We start from the raw sequence: 19,106 nt of genomic DNA, 5'->3' as shown, positions 1-19,106 counted from the left end.
TGACATAAAATGCACATAGGGTCCCTGCTGAGAGATATTTGTTCTAGTATAACCAGGTGCTACGGGTTGTTGTTCTTTCTTGAATTCTTTTTCATTCTGCTGAAACATTTTAAGTATGGTTTCATGAACAGTACGTGGCTAAGCTCTTTTAAGTCTACACTTCTTTTACTCCCCCGACCCTCCAACCCACCTCACTGATATAATTAAACACTCATCTTTACAGGTATAATTCCATAAACCACTCCTCTCCACCCCTCTCAACCCAAAAATAAGATTTTAAATTTGAGTATCCAGGGTTATAGAATTCTGATGACAGTCTGATTCTCCTTTCTTTGTAGGTAATTTGTCTTTTACTCAGGAAGCTTTTAAAGATTTTGTCTTTGTCCTTTTTTATTCTTTTTTTTTTTTTTTAAGACGGAGTCTTGCTCTGTCGCCCAGGATGGAGTGCAGTGGCGCAATCTTGGCTCACTGCAACTTCCGCCTCCTGGTTTCAAGTGATTCTCCTACCTCAGCCTCCCGAGGAGCTGGGATTACAAGTGCCTGTCAGCACGCCTCGCTAATTTTTGTATTTTTAGTAGAGACAGCGTTTCACCATGTTGGCCACGCTGGTCTCAAACTCCTGACCTCAAGTGATCCTCCCGCCTCAGCCTCCGAAAGTGCTGTGATTACAGGCATTGAGCCACCAAGCCCAGCCTTTAATTTTTTTTTTTTTTTTTAAGAGACAGACTTCTGTCGCCCAAGCTGGAGTTCAGTGGCACAATCACGGCTAACTGCAGCCTCAACTTCCCAGGATCAAGCAGTACTCCAAACTCAGCCTCCCAAGTAGCTGGAATACTGGCACTTGCCACCACACTTGGCTAATTTTTAAATTTTTTCTAAAGGCCAGGTGTGGTGATTCATGCCTGTAATCCCAGAACTTTGAGAGGCTGAGGCGGGCAGAGCTCTAAGTTCTAAACCAACCTGGGCGACATGGCAAAATCCTGTCTCTACTAAACAAAGAAAAATTAGATGGGCATGGTGGCGCATGCCTGTAGTCACAGGTACTTGGGAGACTGAGGTGGAAGAATCACCTGAGCCTGGAAAGTCGAGGCTGCAGTGAACTTATGATCACACCACTGCACTCCAGCCTGGGCAATGGGAGTGAGACCCTGACACACACATGCACGCACACACACACACGTAAATACAGGGTCTATGTTGCCCAGGGTCACACACACACACACACACACACACACACACACGTAAATACATGGTCTCACTATGTTGCCCAGGGTAGTCTTCAACTCCTGGGCTCATGTATTCCTCCCATTCCATCTGAAAATATTTATCTGTTTTTGTTAATCATTCCTCCTTTTGATTATTGTTTCCTGTATTCTTTTAACACTCTTTCAGAGAAATACTGGAGCACCTCTCTTTCCATCACATCTTTCCCATTCTGTATTTTCATCTCTATTGCTGCACATTTGAAATTTTTCTCTAATCTGAAGTTTCAGATCATCAACTGGATCTAAAACATGACATTTTATTAATCTGGTTACTCAGATTTTTAAATTCTGATAATTATGTCTCTAATTTCCAATAACACTTTCTGGTTTTCTGTTCTTTTTACACAGGAATCCTTCCTAACAACACAAATCACAATTTTGTTTTGTATTTTTAGTTATCTTCCACACCCGGAATTACAGCTTCTTTTAATGGGGTATTGGTTATTCATTCATCAAGCTTGATTTTACTCAAATATATCAAAATTATGTTTTCAAATATAATACAAATACTAACTAGCATGGATTTCTCCGACAATTTGAAGCTTCACCAATACCCTTCACTCTAAAATAGAGGGCCTGACATTCCAAGTTTTATATAAGCAGACAGGATATGACAGGTTGGCTCCTCCACAGGAAGAGCCTTGTTGGCTGGCAAGGCAAGCCGAGGAACTCCTGTTGCCAAAATAATCAGTCAATAAAAAATATCTAGCAATGACAAGAGATGAAATTAGGTTTTTAAAGTCCTTGTTTGTTGTCATAATCAGGCTCAAGAATTTAAAGAAAAACATGAACATAGGAAGGAAATGAAAGAAAGATACGGTAACTATAGACCTCAATGTAAATTTTAGTTAAAATCTCCCCAAACTTGGGGAAAGCAGGTTAGTATAACCCTTCTAAACTTACTATTCAAAATTGTTGTAACCAAGTTAGATCCTTTACCTGATCCTAGACTGGATTCACTACTAGAAGAAAGCAATAAGCAATTCCATGGATCATCTGACAGAATATTGTGGTTATGCAAGATAATACCCTTATTCTTTCCTATAGGAAAAAAACACTATAGTTTTCTGGGGGAAAGTTATCTCAAGTGGTTCAAAAGAACCATAAAGCAGATGGGGAAGCATGTTAATAATAAGCGAATCTGGATAAAAGGTATGAATGTTTCACATATTCTTATTCCCCCCAAAATTTATTTATTTTTTTTTTACTTTTATTGTTTTTTGAGACAGAGTTTCGCTCTTGTTGCCCAAGCTGGAGTGCAATAGCACGAACTCGCCTCACTGCAACCTCTGCCTACCGGGTTCAAGTGATTCTCCTGCCTCAGTCTCCCGAGTAGATGGGATTACAGGCATGTGCCACCATGCCCGGCTAATTTTTTGTATTTTTAGTAGAAAAGGGGTTTCAACATGTTAGCCAGGCTGATCTCAAACTCCTGATCTCAGGTGATCCTCCTGCATCGGCCTCCCGAAATGCTGGGATTGCAGGCGTGAGCCACCATGCCCGGCCTCTCCCAAAAAGTTTATTTACGACCAAAAAGATGAAGCAAAAGTATAGTTACCAATACTTTCGCATCTAACTACAGTTTATTCTGTTATACTGTCTCAGGCACCAATATATTTGGCCATTTTCCTAATGATGGACATTTGAACTGCTGCCATTTTTTTGGGGAAAAAAAAAAAAAACTATTGATTGCTCCTAACATTCTTATACATGAAAGTTTCTATTAGGTATGTATCCCAGAAAACAACTGCTGAATTATAAGGTAGATTATGTTCAACTTTACAGGAAAATACAAAACTGCTTCTTGAAGTAGATTTATCAATTTAGATTCTCATTTACAACTGTGTAAGAGGTCTTGTTGATCTACAATCTTTCCAATACTTGATACTGTCAAACTTCTTAATTTTGCCAAATGAATGGATATAAAATATTCTCACTGTAGTCCTGACTCGTATTCCCTCATTTTTCGTAAGCCTTTATATTCTTATTAGCTACATGTTTTTCCTCTCATTAAATGCCTATTCACATCTTTGACTATTTTTCTATTGGTTATCTTTTCTTAAATTAATTCACAGAATTTCTATATATATTCTTTTAAAAATATATTCATTTATTTTAGAGATGGGCTCTCATTGTGCTACTCAGGCTGGTCTCAAACTCCTGGGATGAAGCAATCCTTCTGCCTCAGCCTCCTGGGTAGCTGTGAATACAGGCATGCACCACCACACTAGCTTATATACTCTTGATAAAAATCTTTAGTCAGTTAAGTTCAAATTTCTTTTAGTCTTTTAAGAAACATGGCTGCTGCTGCTTTTTTTTTTTTTTTTTTTTTTGGACGGAGTCTAGCTCTGTCACCCAGGCTGGAGTGGAGTGGTGCAATCCTGGCTTACTGCAATCCACCTCCCTGGTTCAACCAATTCTCCTGTCTCAGCCTCCCGAGTAGCTGGGACTACAGGCATGCACCACCATGCCTGGCTAACTTTTGTATTTTTAGTAGAGACAGAGTTTCACCATGTTGGCCAGGCTGGTATCAAACACCTGACCTCAAGCAATCCATGCGCCTGGGCCTCCCTCCCAAAGTGTTGGGATTACACATGTGAGCCACCATGCCCAGCCAGGCCTCTTAAACTTTCTTTAAAGCATCTTTTGATGGACAGATTTTAATCTAATCAAATGTAGCAGTCTTTTGCAATTAGTGCTGCCTCCCCCAAGGTTGAGTTTAAGAAACCCAACCTTTACCCAAGGTTTCCAAGATATTCACTTGGGGATATAGTACATCCACATACCAGAAGCTTTGAGAAATTCCAGCTAAATACATGACAGATAAGGCCATATTAAAACCAGACACTAATAATGACTTACAACTACTTTTATTTAAAAAAAAAAAAAAAGGCATAAGTAGTAAAGAAAATCCTAGTAAAATACCACTAATTTGTTCTTTTCAATGAAGTGAAGGACCTAGAATAGACAGGCAGCACATCCTTCCTTCAGCACTAAAATGACCAAAGTATTTGAAAGCAGTTATACTGGGAAGTCCAAATGCAAGCACAAGCATATCAAAGAGAAAATCAACAAATGAAAATACAAATTCTGCCTACACAAGGCTAAAAGTACCAGGAAGAAAACTGGACAAAAACACATGGTACCCTATATGCTAACCAGCTAACAAGCAAGGAAAACTGGTTTCTAACACAGTGGTTTCAAACTTAAGGGACAGTCAAATACCTAGCACAACCCATTATACTGGCTTTCCCTTTTAAATCTCCACAGGCTGGTCAATCACTTAACTGGTAAAATCAATTTACAGCATGACTCTCCCATCTCCACATTTGCAAAGAGAAAGGTATATGCAACTAGCATCCAGCAATGAAAGAAACGGGGTGGGGAGGGTAAAAGTACCCATTCTGAGACAAATAACTGAACTCAATGATTCTCTTACTGGTTCAATGACTAAACACAAAAAGCCCAAAGACAGTCCTGAAGCCACCACAACCACAAAGGATATTACAAAATTATGAGTCCAGATGAGTGGCTGTCAGGGCTTAGGCATGGGGGAAGCATGGAAAAACAAAAGGCTAGTATATAAGGGAGGGTTTGGGGGATGACGAAACTGTTCTGTATCCTAACTGATAGGGTGGTTACACAAATCTACATATGTTAAAATTCATAGAGCTGTACGCCCCCGCCAAAAGTGAATTTTATTGTATGATTTAAAAATATACATATTTTAAGTATACACAAATTCTTATAGGAGCCTTATTTACATTACCCCCAAAAGGAAAACATCCCAAATATCCTTCAAAGGATGAATGGAATAGACACAATGGTCATCCATCCATGTAATAGAAAACTACCTAGTAATAAAAAGGAACAAAGAATTGAGTTACACAACGACATAGATGAATTGCAAAGATACCATGCTGAGTGAAAGATAAACATCTTAAAAGATCATATAGTACATAATTTCAATTATGACAATATGGAAAATGTCTTATAGGGACAAACAACCAATCAGTGGTTCAGTAATGAGAGGGAGAGAGAGGGCTTGACTATAAACTGGCTGGTCAAGGAAATTTACAATTTTATTATATTTAATTTTTTTTAGAAGAAAAAAGATATAAAGTTTCTAAAAACATTAAGTACAGAAAGCAGACATAAGTTTTAAACACAGTCTTTTGTGCTCAATAAAATCAAGATGAATTCTAGGATCAAGGGATTCCATTAAGAAAACAGAGTTAAGAGGGGGAGCTGAATGTGATAATAGAAGCAAACAAATACTATCAGTGAAGAATGCAAAACCTCACAAATCACAGAAACAGCACAAATAAAATACACTGAAAAATATGTGAGCAGGAAAATTCAAATCCTCCAAATGAAGAGAAAAAGAATAAAGAACCAACAGAACTCAAGGGCAAAGATTCAACATATTTGTTGACATTAATAGAAAAAAGTGGCCTGCAGACAAAGGATTACAGAAAACAATATTCATATTGTACACGTTTTCACATTTACATTCATAATGTAAAAATAAAGAAAAATCTTTTGTGCACACACCAAAAAAACAGCTATTTACAAACAAAAAATGTAGGCTGGCCTCAGAATTTTCCATAATATAAAACCACATAACTGTAAAGCAAGGCTTATACATAGTACTTTAAGTGAAAAGGCTGTTGACTAGAAAGAATTCTATACCCAGCTAAATGGTTGCTTACATATTCTGACCAAAGACATTTTATGGATCTAAAGGCTTGCTAATAAATAATAAGTTAAACAAGGTTCAAAATAGAGCTGTCAAAGGTGGGTTAGGCATTAAAAAGGGTGGCAGCAACGTGACAAAAGAAAAACTTCAGCTGAATTAAATTTAAAGGAGATTAACTGAGCAATGAATGTGATTCACGAATCACAGAGCCAGCCAGAGTAGGCTCTGACATTCAAGCACAGCCCTGTGGTGGAAGTTTTATAGACAGAAAAAGGAAAAGTGATATACAGAAAACGGAAGTGAGATAAACAGCTGGATTGATTACAGGTTGGTATTTGCCTTATTTGAACAGTTGGCTACATTTGATTCAGCCAAAATTTGGTCACTGGCACAAGAGTAGGCTGCGGTCTGTTTATACCTCCACTTGTTATAGTTCGCCATGTACAGAAAAACCTTTAGGCTGGACTTAAAATATGTAAGGAGGCGGCTTTAGGATAAACTTTATTTAACAAAACAATGAAACAATATAAGGGTAATATTAAAGTTTAAATCACTGTTGTGTATATGGCTACAATATATATAATAATACAGCTACAATATATACCTGTCATTAAAAATTTCCTGAAACAACTACATAATATTAACATACCAAATACATTATAACAAAACCAGGATTAAATTTTCAAGTTTGGTAGAAAAAAAAAAAGACACAGAAGGGTGATTATCTCCTCAGTGGTGGGCGAAAGAAAAGTTGGTATTTCCTTGCCATGTATCCTTTGTCCTAAGTAATCTCATCCCACTTCCATGCTATTAACTGTTTAAGAACAAAAGGTCCCCAAATCTGTGACTCGGACATCTAACTGCCTAATCAGAGATTTTGCTGCCTATATTTCTCAAAGGTATCTTAAAATCAGCACAATCTAAAAATGAAGTCTTAACTTGCATCCCACCTTTCATACCTCAAATCATTTCTCCTGATGCGCTACTTGTAATGGCAGTTACAATATGACCACTTTACTTAACTGCTAAACTGAAAGACTCAGTAGCTACTTTTGATCCCATTTCTCTCATTTCTCATATTTAAGTGGGAGAAAACACAATTATATTCAGCAACCCATCTAAAAGGTTCAGCAGAGCCTTAAAGTCATTTGTATTAATTACTCCAAAGCAAAGTTTCCAACAATCCAACACAGCAATCAATAACTAGCACCAGAATCACCTGGAATGTTTATACTTAAAAAGTACACTGCAAGTTCCTTTATCAAATATACCAAGGGATGGGTCTCGAGAATCTGCAATTTCAATAAACACCCCAATTAACACTTATGTGACTTAAGGTTTGGAAACTACTGCTCTAGGGTCATTATTCCAACACCTTCCCTCTGAGGAATGTTGAAGCACTTCCCTGTGCTGCACACAACCACAAAGACAAGATATTCAGCTTCACACACAGAAACAATCACTGATTTTACATAGAGTTAAGTTACCTCTTTATCTTAATTTCTACATAGGAACAAGCATTCCATAAGAACATGCTTTCCATAGTAACAAGCATTATTTACTGGAGGAGCTTCTAACTTTACCCCTACTAAGTTTCAAAAGAAATTTAAATGTATCCCCTATAGAAAAGCCCATCCATTTTCTCTTTCCACCTAAAAATAGGACCCCAATTTTACGTTACAGTTTGGAAGAGAAAACTTTCCCTAGTTGAACTGACTCTTGTGGCCCTGTGATCAAAGTCTAGCCAATATTTGGGGGGCTAATCCCCATATGGGCCACTCAATAGGATATTTTTAAAAAATAAAAATAAAAATATTCTGGCCAATATAATACAAGGATAAACAGCATGTTTTATTTCAGGAATGTCTCCCTCAATCTTACAGAGGGTATATAACAGAATTAGGAATCAAATTCTGCAAAGCCTCTATTTTGTACAAGTGCTTTAAGTATAAAAATTATAAAAATACTTCAAGAGTTTTATGTTTTAAAAACATATTTTGCCAGGCACAGTGGCTCATGCCTGTAATCCCAGCACTTTGGGAGGCCGAGGCGCACGGATCACGAGGTCAGCAGTTCAAGACCAGCCTGGCCAACATGGTGAAACTCGTCTCTATTAAAAATACAAAAATTTGGCAGGCATGGTGGCGTGTGCCTGTAATCCCAGCTACTCGGGAGGCTGAGGCAAGAGAATCACTTGAATCCGGGAGGCGGACGTTGCAGTGAGCCAAGACCACTCCATTGCACTCCAGCCTGGGCGACAGAGAGCGACTCCATCTCACAAAAGAAAAAAAAAAAAAAAAAAAAAAATATATATATATATATATATATATGTAATTTCTTATAAACACAAAATTAGAGTAAAACATTTATTTAAAAGTTGTTTCAGCTGGGTGCAGTGACTCAGGACTGTAATCCCAACATTTTGGGAGGCAGAGGGGTAGGGGCAGATCCTTTGAGCTCAGGAGACCAGCCCGGGCAACATGGTGAAACCCTCTATCTACAATAAATACAAAAATTAGCCAGGCGTGGTGGTGTGTGACCGTAGTCCCAGCTACTCGGGAAGCTGAGGTAGGAGGATCACTTGAGCCCAGCAGATCAAGGCTGCAGTGAGCCATGTTCACGCCAGTACACTCCTGCCGGGACAAGAGAGACCCTGTCTGAAAAAAAATTAAATAATATATAAAATATAAATAAATAAAAACTTGTTTTAAGTGCCAGGTTCAGTGGTACAGGTCTGTAGTCCCAGCTACTTGGGAGTCTAAGGCAGGAGGATTGCTTGGGGCCAGGAACTTGAGGCTATACGCCATAACTGCACCTGTGAATAGCCACTGCACTCCAGCCTGGGCAACACAGCAAGATGTCATCTCAAAAAAAAAGTTGTTTCAAACTCTAAATATATTTTCTCCTATGTTAGTATGATTAATAATATTAATGATTAGAGCCCCTGGTTAGTTCATGAAGTCTGTTTAGTTACAAATGCCAAAATTCATTCAGCTTTGATGATAAACACTGAGGCCCAATGGCCTTTATCATCTAGGGAGTATGAAGAATGAGCAAGAGGCTAACTCAGCGTGAGTTACCCTGGGAAAGGAAAGAAGAAATGGTTCATATAGGACACACATAGATACCTTCAAGGGTGTTTGTAGAGTTGTTTCTTAAGTAGTTGGTTTCCTTCACAGAAAGTTCTTAAACTCAGAATATACCCATCCATGCACCCCACCAGCAATACAAAGACCCCAAACAAAAAATTACTATATTCTTACCCTACGCATGGCTTCCTCCTCTTCTTGACGCTTTTCATAATGTGCAAAGTCATCAAAGATTGAGGTGGTATGCTTGAAAGTAGCAATTATTTTAAGCACTTGCTTAGCTTTTTCTAGGGGTACCTCTTGAGTGTCCCTTGAATTGGTAACCGGTTTGTTGTCATTATTTTCTAAGCGAATATGCCGTAATTGGTTATTGGGAACATCTTTGACAAAGATCCATTTAACTTCAAATTTGCCCTTCCACTTATCCTGAGACCAGACACCAGCATACGCATTATAGTCCACAACAGACTTCATTTCAGCCACTCCACAAAAATGTCCACTGCCATTCACACTGAAGAGTAAATAGAGTGGGCCTTTCCCATTCAGGGAACGGTAAGCTGCATCCAAACGCTTATTACCATGCTCAGTACTACACCAGATAGAGTATTTAATGGAACGATGTATGTCATCCTCAGAGTAGCTTTTAATTATAAACACACGTCCATTCTTCAGATTCCAATCAAAGTCTTTGGGATTATAGTTGTTTATGGCCTTTAGCTTTTCCAGCACGGGATGCACTTCTACACTAGAAGGTGAAGCACTGACAGGTACAACACCTAAACCAAAGTTTTCACTGCCCGCTCCATTGTTCTGGTTGAAGCCTGCTCCCCTGTTACGAGGAGCTACCCAGCGATTCTGCAGCTGCTGCTGTTGAGGCTGCACTTGGTGAGGCTGGGCCTGTGGCTGAGGTCCTTGTTGCTGCTGTGGTTGTGGTGGTTGAGGCTGCTGTTGAGGCAGTTGGCTTTGCACCAATGGTGGTGGTTGAATTAATGGCTGAGGCTGCTGGATTATAGTTTGAGGAGGCAGAACTGGTTGGGTTGGTGGAGCCTTTACCACTGACCCTTTTTCATCCCAAGTTCCAATATTCATGTTGTGTTTTATAGGAGGTGGTGGTACAGCAGAACCCCCAATTCCCACATTGCCCTTGGGTTTAAGTTTCGGTTGAGGTTTGGCAGGCTTTCTGGCAATGGCAGCCCAGGAGGTTGGTTTAGGTGCTGCACTGCTAACTGGGGGCACACTATTGGTTGCAATGCTAGTCATACCACTGCTGCTCAAAGCTGTACCTACAGTTTTTGTCACTGCAGCTGTCAGGTCACCACCAATTTTCAGTCCAGTCATGCCTTGCTCAATACTGCTAATGCCAGGCACCTTACTCAAAGTATCATTGCCAAATCCAGCCTGTCCATCAGTAATAGCTCTCCCAAGAGAACTAGGTGGATAGCCATAACTGCTACTATAAGCAGAACTTTGTGTTGATTGTCCCTGAGATCCACTTGTCCCCCATGTAGAGAAATCAGCATTACCAGGAAAAAAGTTAAATCCATGTTGACCAAGAAATGGAGGGGTATTTCCTAATGCCCCAGGTTGACTAAATACACCATCTGGTATATAGTGATGTTCTCCATTACTCATTTGTCCATAGGTTGTCAGATATGGCATAGGCTGGTCTCCAGCTGTGGACCACGCTGCTTCCCCAAGAGAATATGGAAATCCAATGGATGGAGCATAGTAACTAGGCATGTATGGATCTGACATTGGTGGATAGCTGTTACTCTGCAAAACAAAATATCACAATCAGTAGCGAAATGTCCTCTTAAAAGAGCAAAAAAAGAAATCTGAAAGATTAAAATCAAGAAGTTTTAAGTAAATGAAAATAAAAGATGTACCTATTCTAGATAAACAAAATTAAAATTTCAAATCCAGTTTTATCAACAGAAAAATTTGCTGATGAGTAGTCACATCTTAAAATATTTCTTACAAACTAACCTATATGGCTTTTTTCAGGGATGAGAGTGGGGGTATAATGAGTATTATTTTTGTTTGAAGAGCCAGGCCCTCTGTCACAATTTAAAAATATCATAATTTCTACAAAAGGCTAATATATAAACTTTGTGGACACAAAATTACCATTTACAGCCAGCTGTACTTTAATCAATTGATGTATGCAATCACTTACACACAAGGATTAAATAAACTAGACAACTCTGCCGAATAATAGAGGAATTACAGCTTATCTATATGATGGAATCCAGTTCAACCATTAGATTTTGTACTTTCATTAAGGAAAAAATGGAGAAATGCTCACAGTCTTGAGAAGATTCAAGATTACGTTTATAGCATGATGCAAATTTCTTTTTGTTTTGCTTTGCCTTGTTCATTTCAAAAAAAGACATAAAACAAATTCCTTATCATAGTTTCTTATTGGTGGAATAACAGACATGACTTTTCTTTATACTCTCCTCTTCCCCAAATTTTACACAATAAACCTATTACAGAACAGGTTTGGGTTTTTTTTAATTTAGTAATAGTGAGTTCATGTAAATTTTTTCCAGAATTACTGCAATTAAATCAACCTTCACTATACTTATCATTTAGTGAACTGCCAAAAATCAAGACACCAAATTTTATTAAAGGAAAAAAAAAGCTCAAATTTGTTACTAGACAATATAAAAATAAAATACTTTAAAGTATTTTAAATACTTATTTCTTTTGAAGTAAGTTTCTTACGCAAAAAAAAAAAGTCTGAAACTAGATTTTCGATCTTTGATTTAGGTGTGCTTTTATTCTATTTTATTTTTGAAACAGGGTCTCACTCTGTCACTCAGGCAGAAGTGCAGCAGCGCTATCTTGGCTCACTGCAACATCCACTTCCTGAGGCTCAAGCAATCCTCCCATTTCAGCTCCCAGAGTAGCTGAGACCACAGGCGTCCGCCACCATGCCCAGCTAATTTTTTGTATTTTTTGTAGAGATGAGGATTTCACCATGTTGCCCAGGATGGTCTTGAACTCCTGGGCTCAAGCAATCTGCCCACCTCAGCCACCCCAAGTGTGATTTAGGTGTGATTTTAAAGCACCGCACAGAGCTTCACAATTTGTAGAATTATGCAAAGTGAAAAAAATCCACTAATATTGTCAGTACAACTGGTATGACTTTTCAAGGGTCAATACCATTTTGAAGGCTAATTTACAGAGACAGTCAAAGTTCTTTGGAGTAAAGTTCTTAACCCGTTTCTTCTACTATTTCACTCTTGTCACTATTTCGTGGCTGCTTTTCCACTCATGAATGTGTGACATAACGTCATAGATCCTGCCTGGAACTAATTTTAAATTATTTTTGAAAAGGCTTATCATTGAAAACTGAGATGTTTTATTACTAAGCTACTTGTTTTACTATTAAATTACCTGTGGTATACCCATCTAACTCTTGTAACTGTCTACTGTCTATGAGAAAGCTAACTTAACATATTGTCTTTTGAAATGGTTCTCTGATATGACTAAAATAACTTAAGAACTAAATATAATGTAACAGAGGTTACATTTAAATTAATAATTCTGACAAAGATTTACTGGCTATTGCCAGTAAAGCTTGGACTTAAAAACCAAAAAACTCAACTCTCACTTACTGTTTAAAAGAAAATCACAAAACCATTTTTCAAATACACTGGATGTTAAAAGTATATTTTACAGTACAGTCCTTGACAGACTATGTTGGTTTTTTATTTGTATCATTTTTTATTGTTGTATTGTTATTTGTTTTTCCAACACAATCAGTCCTTCATATCAGTGGGTTCTACATCTGTGGATTCAACCATTCACAGATTGAAAATAGCTGGGAAAAAGAAATGAATAGTTGCATCTGTATTGAACATGTACACAGTTTTTTTTGTCATTATTCCCTAAACAATACAGTATAACCACTTACAAACCATTTACACTGTATTAGGTATTATAAATAACCCAGAGATCATCTAAAGTATACAGGAGGATGTGCATAGGTTACATACAACTAACTATTATACCATTTTATATAAGGTTCTTGAGCATACACAGATTTTGGTATCCGTTGGGGGTTCTGGAATCAATCTCCCACAGATACCTTGAGACGACTGTATTTTTGATCCACAACTGACTGAATCCGTGAATGTAGACACTGCAGATACGGAGGGCTGACTATATTTAAAACTGGAAAATTCAGGAGTTACTATTTACTAACTGAACACATTCTTCAGCTATAATGGATAATTAGTAACTCTAACTGCAAATATAGTCAAAGAATGTTCACAATATTCACATGAAAGGAATCAACAGCATTTTTACAACTGCAATAGTAGCATCTTACATAAATCAATACTGGAAGTACTGACTGCTATATTTAAATACATCTATAAAGAAAAGACTGAGGGAAGTTCAAATACACCAACAATAGTTTTTAAAGAAAAAAATCTTGACAAAATTAATGACTAAACTTTGGAAGCTACGAAGACAAACACAAATGCGTAAAATTTGATCACTGAAGTATCTACTAAAAATGGAAAGTACTCATAGTGCTTCATACTGACAAAAAGTCACTGTGATTAAAAAAACTCTCAAAAGTTTAATAAAAATGAGAAGTTCATCTAGTATAAACGAATATATGTAACTGATTAAAAGATAAAACTGGGCTGGACACCGTGGTTCATGCCTATAATCCCAGCACTTTGAGAGGCCAAGGCAGGCATATCACCTGAGGTCTGGAGTTCGAGACCAGCCTGGCCAAAATGGTGAAACCCCATCTCTACCAAAATTACAAAAATTAGCTGGCCATGGGAGCATACACCTGTAATCCCAGCTACTCGGGAGGCTGAGTGAGGCAGGAGAATCGCTTGAACCCAGGAGGCAGAGGTTGCAGTGAGCTGCGATGCCACCACTGCACTCCAGCCTGGGTGACAAGCGAGACTGTCTCAAAAAAGAAAAAAAAAAAAAAAGATAAAACTGTCTACTGTCTTCATCCTTTTTTTAAACAGTTAAACATATCCTTTATTTATAATTTTAACTATTTCAACCACTTATCAAATGCATACATTGTAAAAAAACATTGATATAAGATACTCATTCTAAAAGAAAATCTACAGTTAAATGGATAAGACAAGTAATACAGGGAAGTAGATAAATCCCACATGGAGATGCATAGGAAAGGTGGGCTGAATATGAAGGTAACTGGTTTCCAAGTTTTAATTTTGATTGTTGGCAATGAAATCCAGATTCAGTAGTCTTTATCTGGATGTGGGAGTGGAAAAGCACACAAAGTAGGAAGTTTTTATGTTAATTCTTTATAAGAAAGCATTCAGAAAGTTAAACTCAAAATTTATATTGAATATTCTTATTTCACTATGACAAATGCTGAATTCTACACAACAGTTACACATCAAGTTCTTAATTTGTCTATACCCATAGTATAATTCAGGGGTCAGCAAACTAAGAGGCCAACAAGTAAATCAAGCCACATTCAGCCTCTGTCACCTATTTGGGTTTTTTTCTTTTAGCAACTCTTTTAAAAGCTATTAGCTTAAAGCCAGGCACGGTGGCTTGTGCTTGTAATCCCAGCTACTCAGGAGGCTGGAAAAGGTGGATCAATTGAGTCCAGGAGTTCAAGACCAGCCTGCACAAGAGACTATCTCATTAAAAAAAAAAAAAAAAAAAAAAAAATTAGCCAGGCATGGTGGTGCACGCCTGTAGACTCAGCTACTTGGGAGGTGAGGTGGGAGGATCGCTTGGGCCCAGGAGTTCGAGGCTGCAGTGAACTATGATCACACTACTGCACTCCAGCATGGGCTACAGAATAAAACCCTCTTAAAAAAAAAATTTAAAAAAAACCACACACACAAAAATTGAAGTGCTTCAAACTCCTGACATGACTTCCGATTTAACAACCAAAAGTGATGTTCATTCTAATTTTAATGCTTGTATTATGCTATGTACTTTCTCCTATTATAATTTTCTAAAAGTATAATTTATGCATATCTAATCATGTCATAAGAAAAATGTCATAATAATATTCAACCTGAGTATTTCACCAACCGTAATTCTTCATTCTCTAATTCTATTAGATAACCTAATCCATCCATTCACTTAATAAACATGAATGCTATATGTGCCAGATACTGTGCTGGTTACTGGAGACAAAAAATAAAGAACGTGGTCTCCAACTGGGAGCACTTCACAGGTATCGTGAGGAAGACTTATTTACCCTATAATGTGATAGCTACTCTAAATGAATTACAAAGAAAGCAAAACAAAACACTTAAGTACAAAGAAGAGGGAGTAAGTAACTGGAAAATCAGAAAAGACTTTCTGTAGGAAATGCCATAGGTGTGTGTACACGTCTGTATAAAACATACATACAAAAATTGAGATCGTGAAAGAAATATTAAGAAAATATTTATACTTTCATAAAATAATGGTAAGTTCTATTTTGCCAATCAGATGGAGAAAGTTGGCAGAAGATGAGCTAGAAAAGGAAGTGGAACCACTTTAAGGGCATTCATATAATAAATGCATCCACTGTTGAGAAGCTATAGTAATTACTTAACATTACAGTGACACAATCAGACTTGGGATTTTAAGACTGCTGAGTGGCAGTATAGAATTACTAGTTAGAAAATCATTTCAATAGACAAAACTAATGAATACCTTAACTAAGGGCAGTGATGACAAGGGCAGAAAATGACAATTTAATTCTCTATAGTACTTCTCTGATAAAGATAGCTAAGAACTTACTTTCCCAAACACACAAGCAGACAAACTCAACTTCAGTTTTTCCAAATTATTCTTCAAATTTATATGCACAAATTACATGGCATATTTAACAGTGGCAATTAAAATCTAAATTTTCCAATCTATTTAGTCATAAAATTATTCTGAAGAACTATAAAGAACTAATTTTAAGAAATGAAGGACCCTCTCCCTCTCCCTCTTTCCACGGTCTCCCTCTGATGCCGAGCCGAAGCTGGACGGTACTGCTGCCATCTCGGCTCACTGCAACCTCCCTGCCTGATTCTCCTGCCTCAGCCTGCCGAGTGCCTGCGATTGCAGGCGCTTGCCGCCACGCCTGACTGGTTTTCGTATTTTTTTGGTGTAGACGGGGTTTCGCTGTGTTGGCCGGGCTGGTCTCCAGCTCCTAACCGCGAGTGATCCGCCAGCCTCGGCCTCCCGAGGTGCCAGGATTGCAGACGGAGTCTGGTTCACTCAGTGCTCAATGGTGCCCAGGCTGGAGTGCAGTGGCGTGATCTCGGCTCGCTACAACCTCCACCTCCCAGCAGCCTGCCTTGGCCTCCCAAAGTGCCGAGATTGCAGCCTCTGCCCAGCCGCCACCCCGTCTGGGAAGTGAGGAGCGTCTCTGCCCGGCCGCCCATCGTCTGGGATGTGAGGAGCCCCTCTGCCTGGCTGCCCAGTCTGGAAAGTGAGGAGCGTCTCTGCCCGGCCGCCATCTCATCTAGGAAGTGAGGAGCGCCTCTTCCCGGCCGCCATCCCATCTGGGAAGTGAGGAGCGTCTCTGCCCAGCCGCCCATCGTCTGAGATGTGGGGAGCGTCTCTGCCCAGCCGCCCATCGTCTGAGATGTGGGGAGCACCTCTGCCCTGCCGCCCCGTCCGGGATGTGAGGAGCATCTCTGCCCGGCCGCCCCGTCTGAGAAGTGAGGAAACCCTCTGCCTGGCAACCGCCCCGTCTGAGAAGTGAGGCGCCCCTCCGCCCGGAAGCCGCCCCGTCTGAGAAGTGAGGAGCCCCTCCGCCCAGCAGCCACCCCATTTGAGAAGTGAGGAGCATCTCCGCCCAGCAGCCACCTCGTCCGGGAGGGAGGTGGGGGGGGTCAGCCCCCCGCCCAGCCAGCCGCCCCGTCCGGGAGGGAGATGGGGGGATCAGCCCCCCGCCCGGCCAGCCGCCCCATCCGGGAGGGAGGTGGGGGGATCAGCCCCCCGCCCGGCCAGCCGCCCCGTCCGGGAGGTGAGGGGTGCCTCTGCCCGGCCGCCCCTACTGGGAAGTGAGGAGCCCCTCTGCCTGGCCGGCCGCCCCATCCGGGGGGAGGTGGGAGGGTCAGCCCCCCACCCGGCCAGCCGCCCCGTCCGGGAGGTGAGGGGCACCTCTGCCCGGCCGCCCCTACTGGGAAGTGAGGAGCCCCTCTGCCCGGCCACCACCCCATCTGGGAGGTGTACCCAGCGGCTCATTGAGAACGGGCCATGATGGCGATGGCGGTTTTGTGGAATAGAAAGGGGGGAGGGGTGGGGAAAAGATTGAGAAATCGGATGGTTGCCGTGTCTGTGTAGAAAGAGGTAGACATGGGAGACTTTTCATTTTGTTCTGTACTAAGAAAAATTCTTCTGCCTTGGGATCCTGTTGATCTGTGACCTTACCCCCAACCCTGTGCTCTCTGAAACATGTGCTGTATCCACTCAGGGTTGAATGGATTAAGAGCGGTGCAAGATGTGCTTTGTTAAACAGATGCTTGAAGGCAGCATGCTCCTTAAGAGTCATCACCACTCCCTAATCTCAAGCACCCAGGGACACAAACACTGCGGAAGGCCGCAGGGTCCTCTGCCTAGGAAAACCAGAGACCTTTGTTCACTTGTTTATCTGCTGACCTTCCCTGCACTATTGTCCTGTGACCCTGCCAAATCCCCCTCTGCGAGAAACACCCAAGAATGATCAATAAAAAAAAAAAAAAGAAATGAAGGACTGACATTTACTTTCAAAATTACTATGAACATTATTCCTTCAGAAACTGAACACTACAAAATAGAAGAAATATGCTGCCACATAAGTAGAAAGGCCAACAACTTGTTTTAAAGTACCCTTGGGTTTGATATGAACTAGATCTAAGTATACAAAGCAATTTAAATCATTAGCAAAAGACTTGTTAAACACTTTTCCATCAAAATATTTTTTATTTATAATTTTAAAATCAGATAAATGAATTTAATTTTTAAAACACACTGTGTACAGTGTATGAGGACCTAATTAAATAGTTGTGTAACTCTAAATTTGCCAGTATCTTCTTGAGATCTTTCATCAATAAATCCAGTTTTCACTAATCTGTTATAATAGCACTATTTAAAAGGTCCAAACATTTTATTTAATTTTCTAGCTAGATAATTGAGAGTACTTAAATTCTCATACGACTTACCTTTAAGATTCCAGATAATTTTCAATAAACCCAGTTTTCAACATTCTACAGTATTAATCCTCTTTAAAATGTAAATATGTATCTTGTTAGAGATAATTATTTTTAATATTAAAGAAAGATGACTGCTGAAAATCTATTTAGTACCACAAAGGAGAGGTAGAACAGGCCTTACTGGAATCAAACTTTACAACTTCTCTTCAAACAGGATACAAATATGTTGATTCCAAATATCATGAGTTAAAACAAATCTATTTTACAAATGTTTTGCTCCAACATAACCTGCAATGATGCAGCTGAAAAAATTCATTTGGGTTCACTAAGGTAAATGCCTTTACATCTTTTAAAAAGTAATGGTTTCCCAAACACTTTTTAAAACTATTTTTTTTTTTACAAGTAAAGTCTTATGCACAATTCCAATATATAGAACAGATAAAACGCAAACCACAGTGCTAGTTGCTACACTGGTGGGATTCAGGCACCCTCCGCTGGTTTTCCCTAGGAAGACACTAAGGTGCCTCTATGGAATACCAGAAATCCTCCTGACAAAAATTTTTCCTCCAGTAGAAACCCTTCTATGTCCTTGTGACAAATAATAAAGAATTGTAAAATATCTGTTATCAAGCAAAACATGCAAGAAGATTACTCAGGTAGCAATTCCAAAACTGTCTTTTACAGTCCACTAAAATTCCTTAAAAAAGAGTTTGAATGGCTGAGTGCGGTGTTCCATGCCTGTAATCCCAGCACTTTGGGAGGCCGAGGCAGGTGGATCACTTGACGTCAGGAGTTCAAGACCAGCCTTGCCAATATGGTGAAACCTCACCTCTCCTAAAAATATAAAAATTAGCCAGGCGTGGTAGCATGTGTCTGTAATCCCAGCTACTTGGGAGGCTGAGGCAGG

General features: G+C 39.5%; 1 protein-coding gene across 10 annotated transcripts in view, besides 1 other annotated feature; it reads right to left on the bottom strand.

Moving 5' to 3' along the window:
- The window catches only part of YTHDF3 (YTH N6-methyladenosine RNA binding protein F3), a 44,236-nt gene that overhangs the window by 15,816 nt on the left and 9,314 nt on the right, over positions 1-19,106 (bottom strand). For 9 of the 10 annotated variants that reach the window (NM_001277813.2, NM_001277815.2, NM_152758.6 and 6 more), the window contains one exon: positions 9,228-10,826. The exons of the other annotated variant lie outside the window; for it this stretch is intronic. In NM_001277813.2, coding sequence (NP_001264742.1) covers positions 9,228-10,826 — 1,599 coding nt within the window. The remainder of the gene's footprint in view (positions 1-9,227; positions 10,827-19,106) is intronic. 10 annotated transcript variants of the gene reach the window in all.
- Positions 16,969-17,866: an enhancer, noted in NCBI's record as "NANOG-H3K27ac-H3K4me1 hESC enhancer chr8:64091666-64092563 (GRCh37/hg19 assembly coordinates)". NCBI's record gives its function as "activates a minimal SCP1, AML or CMV promoter by ChIP-STARR-seq in primed H9 embryonic stem cells {active_cell/tissue: H9 hESC(primed)}" and the evidence as "EXISTENCE:reporter gene assay evidence [ECO:0000049][PMID:30033119]".

The sequence above is a fragment of the Homo sapiens genome, chromosome 8 (genome assembly GCF_000001405.40).
Source record: "Homo sapiens chromosome 8, GRCh38.p14 Primary Assembly".
In the NCBI taxonomy this organism is placed as follows: Eukaryota; Metazoa; Chordata; class Mammalia; order Primates; family Hominidae; genus Homo; species Homo sapiens.
This window is presented reverse-complemented; position numbering and strand designations above follow the sequence as displayed.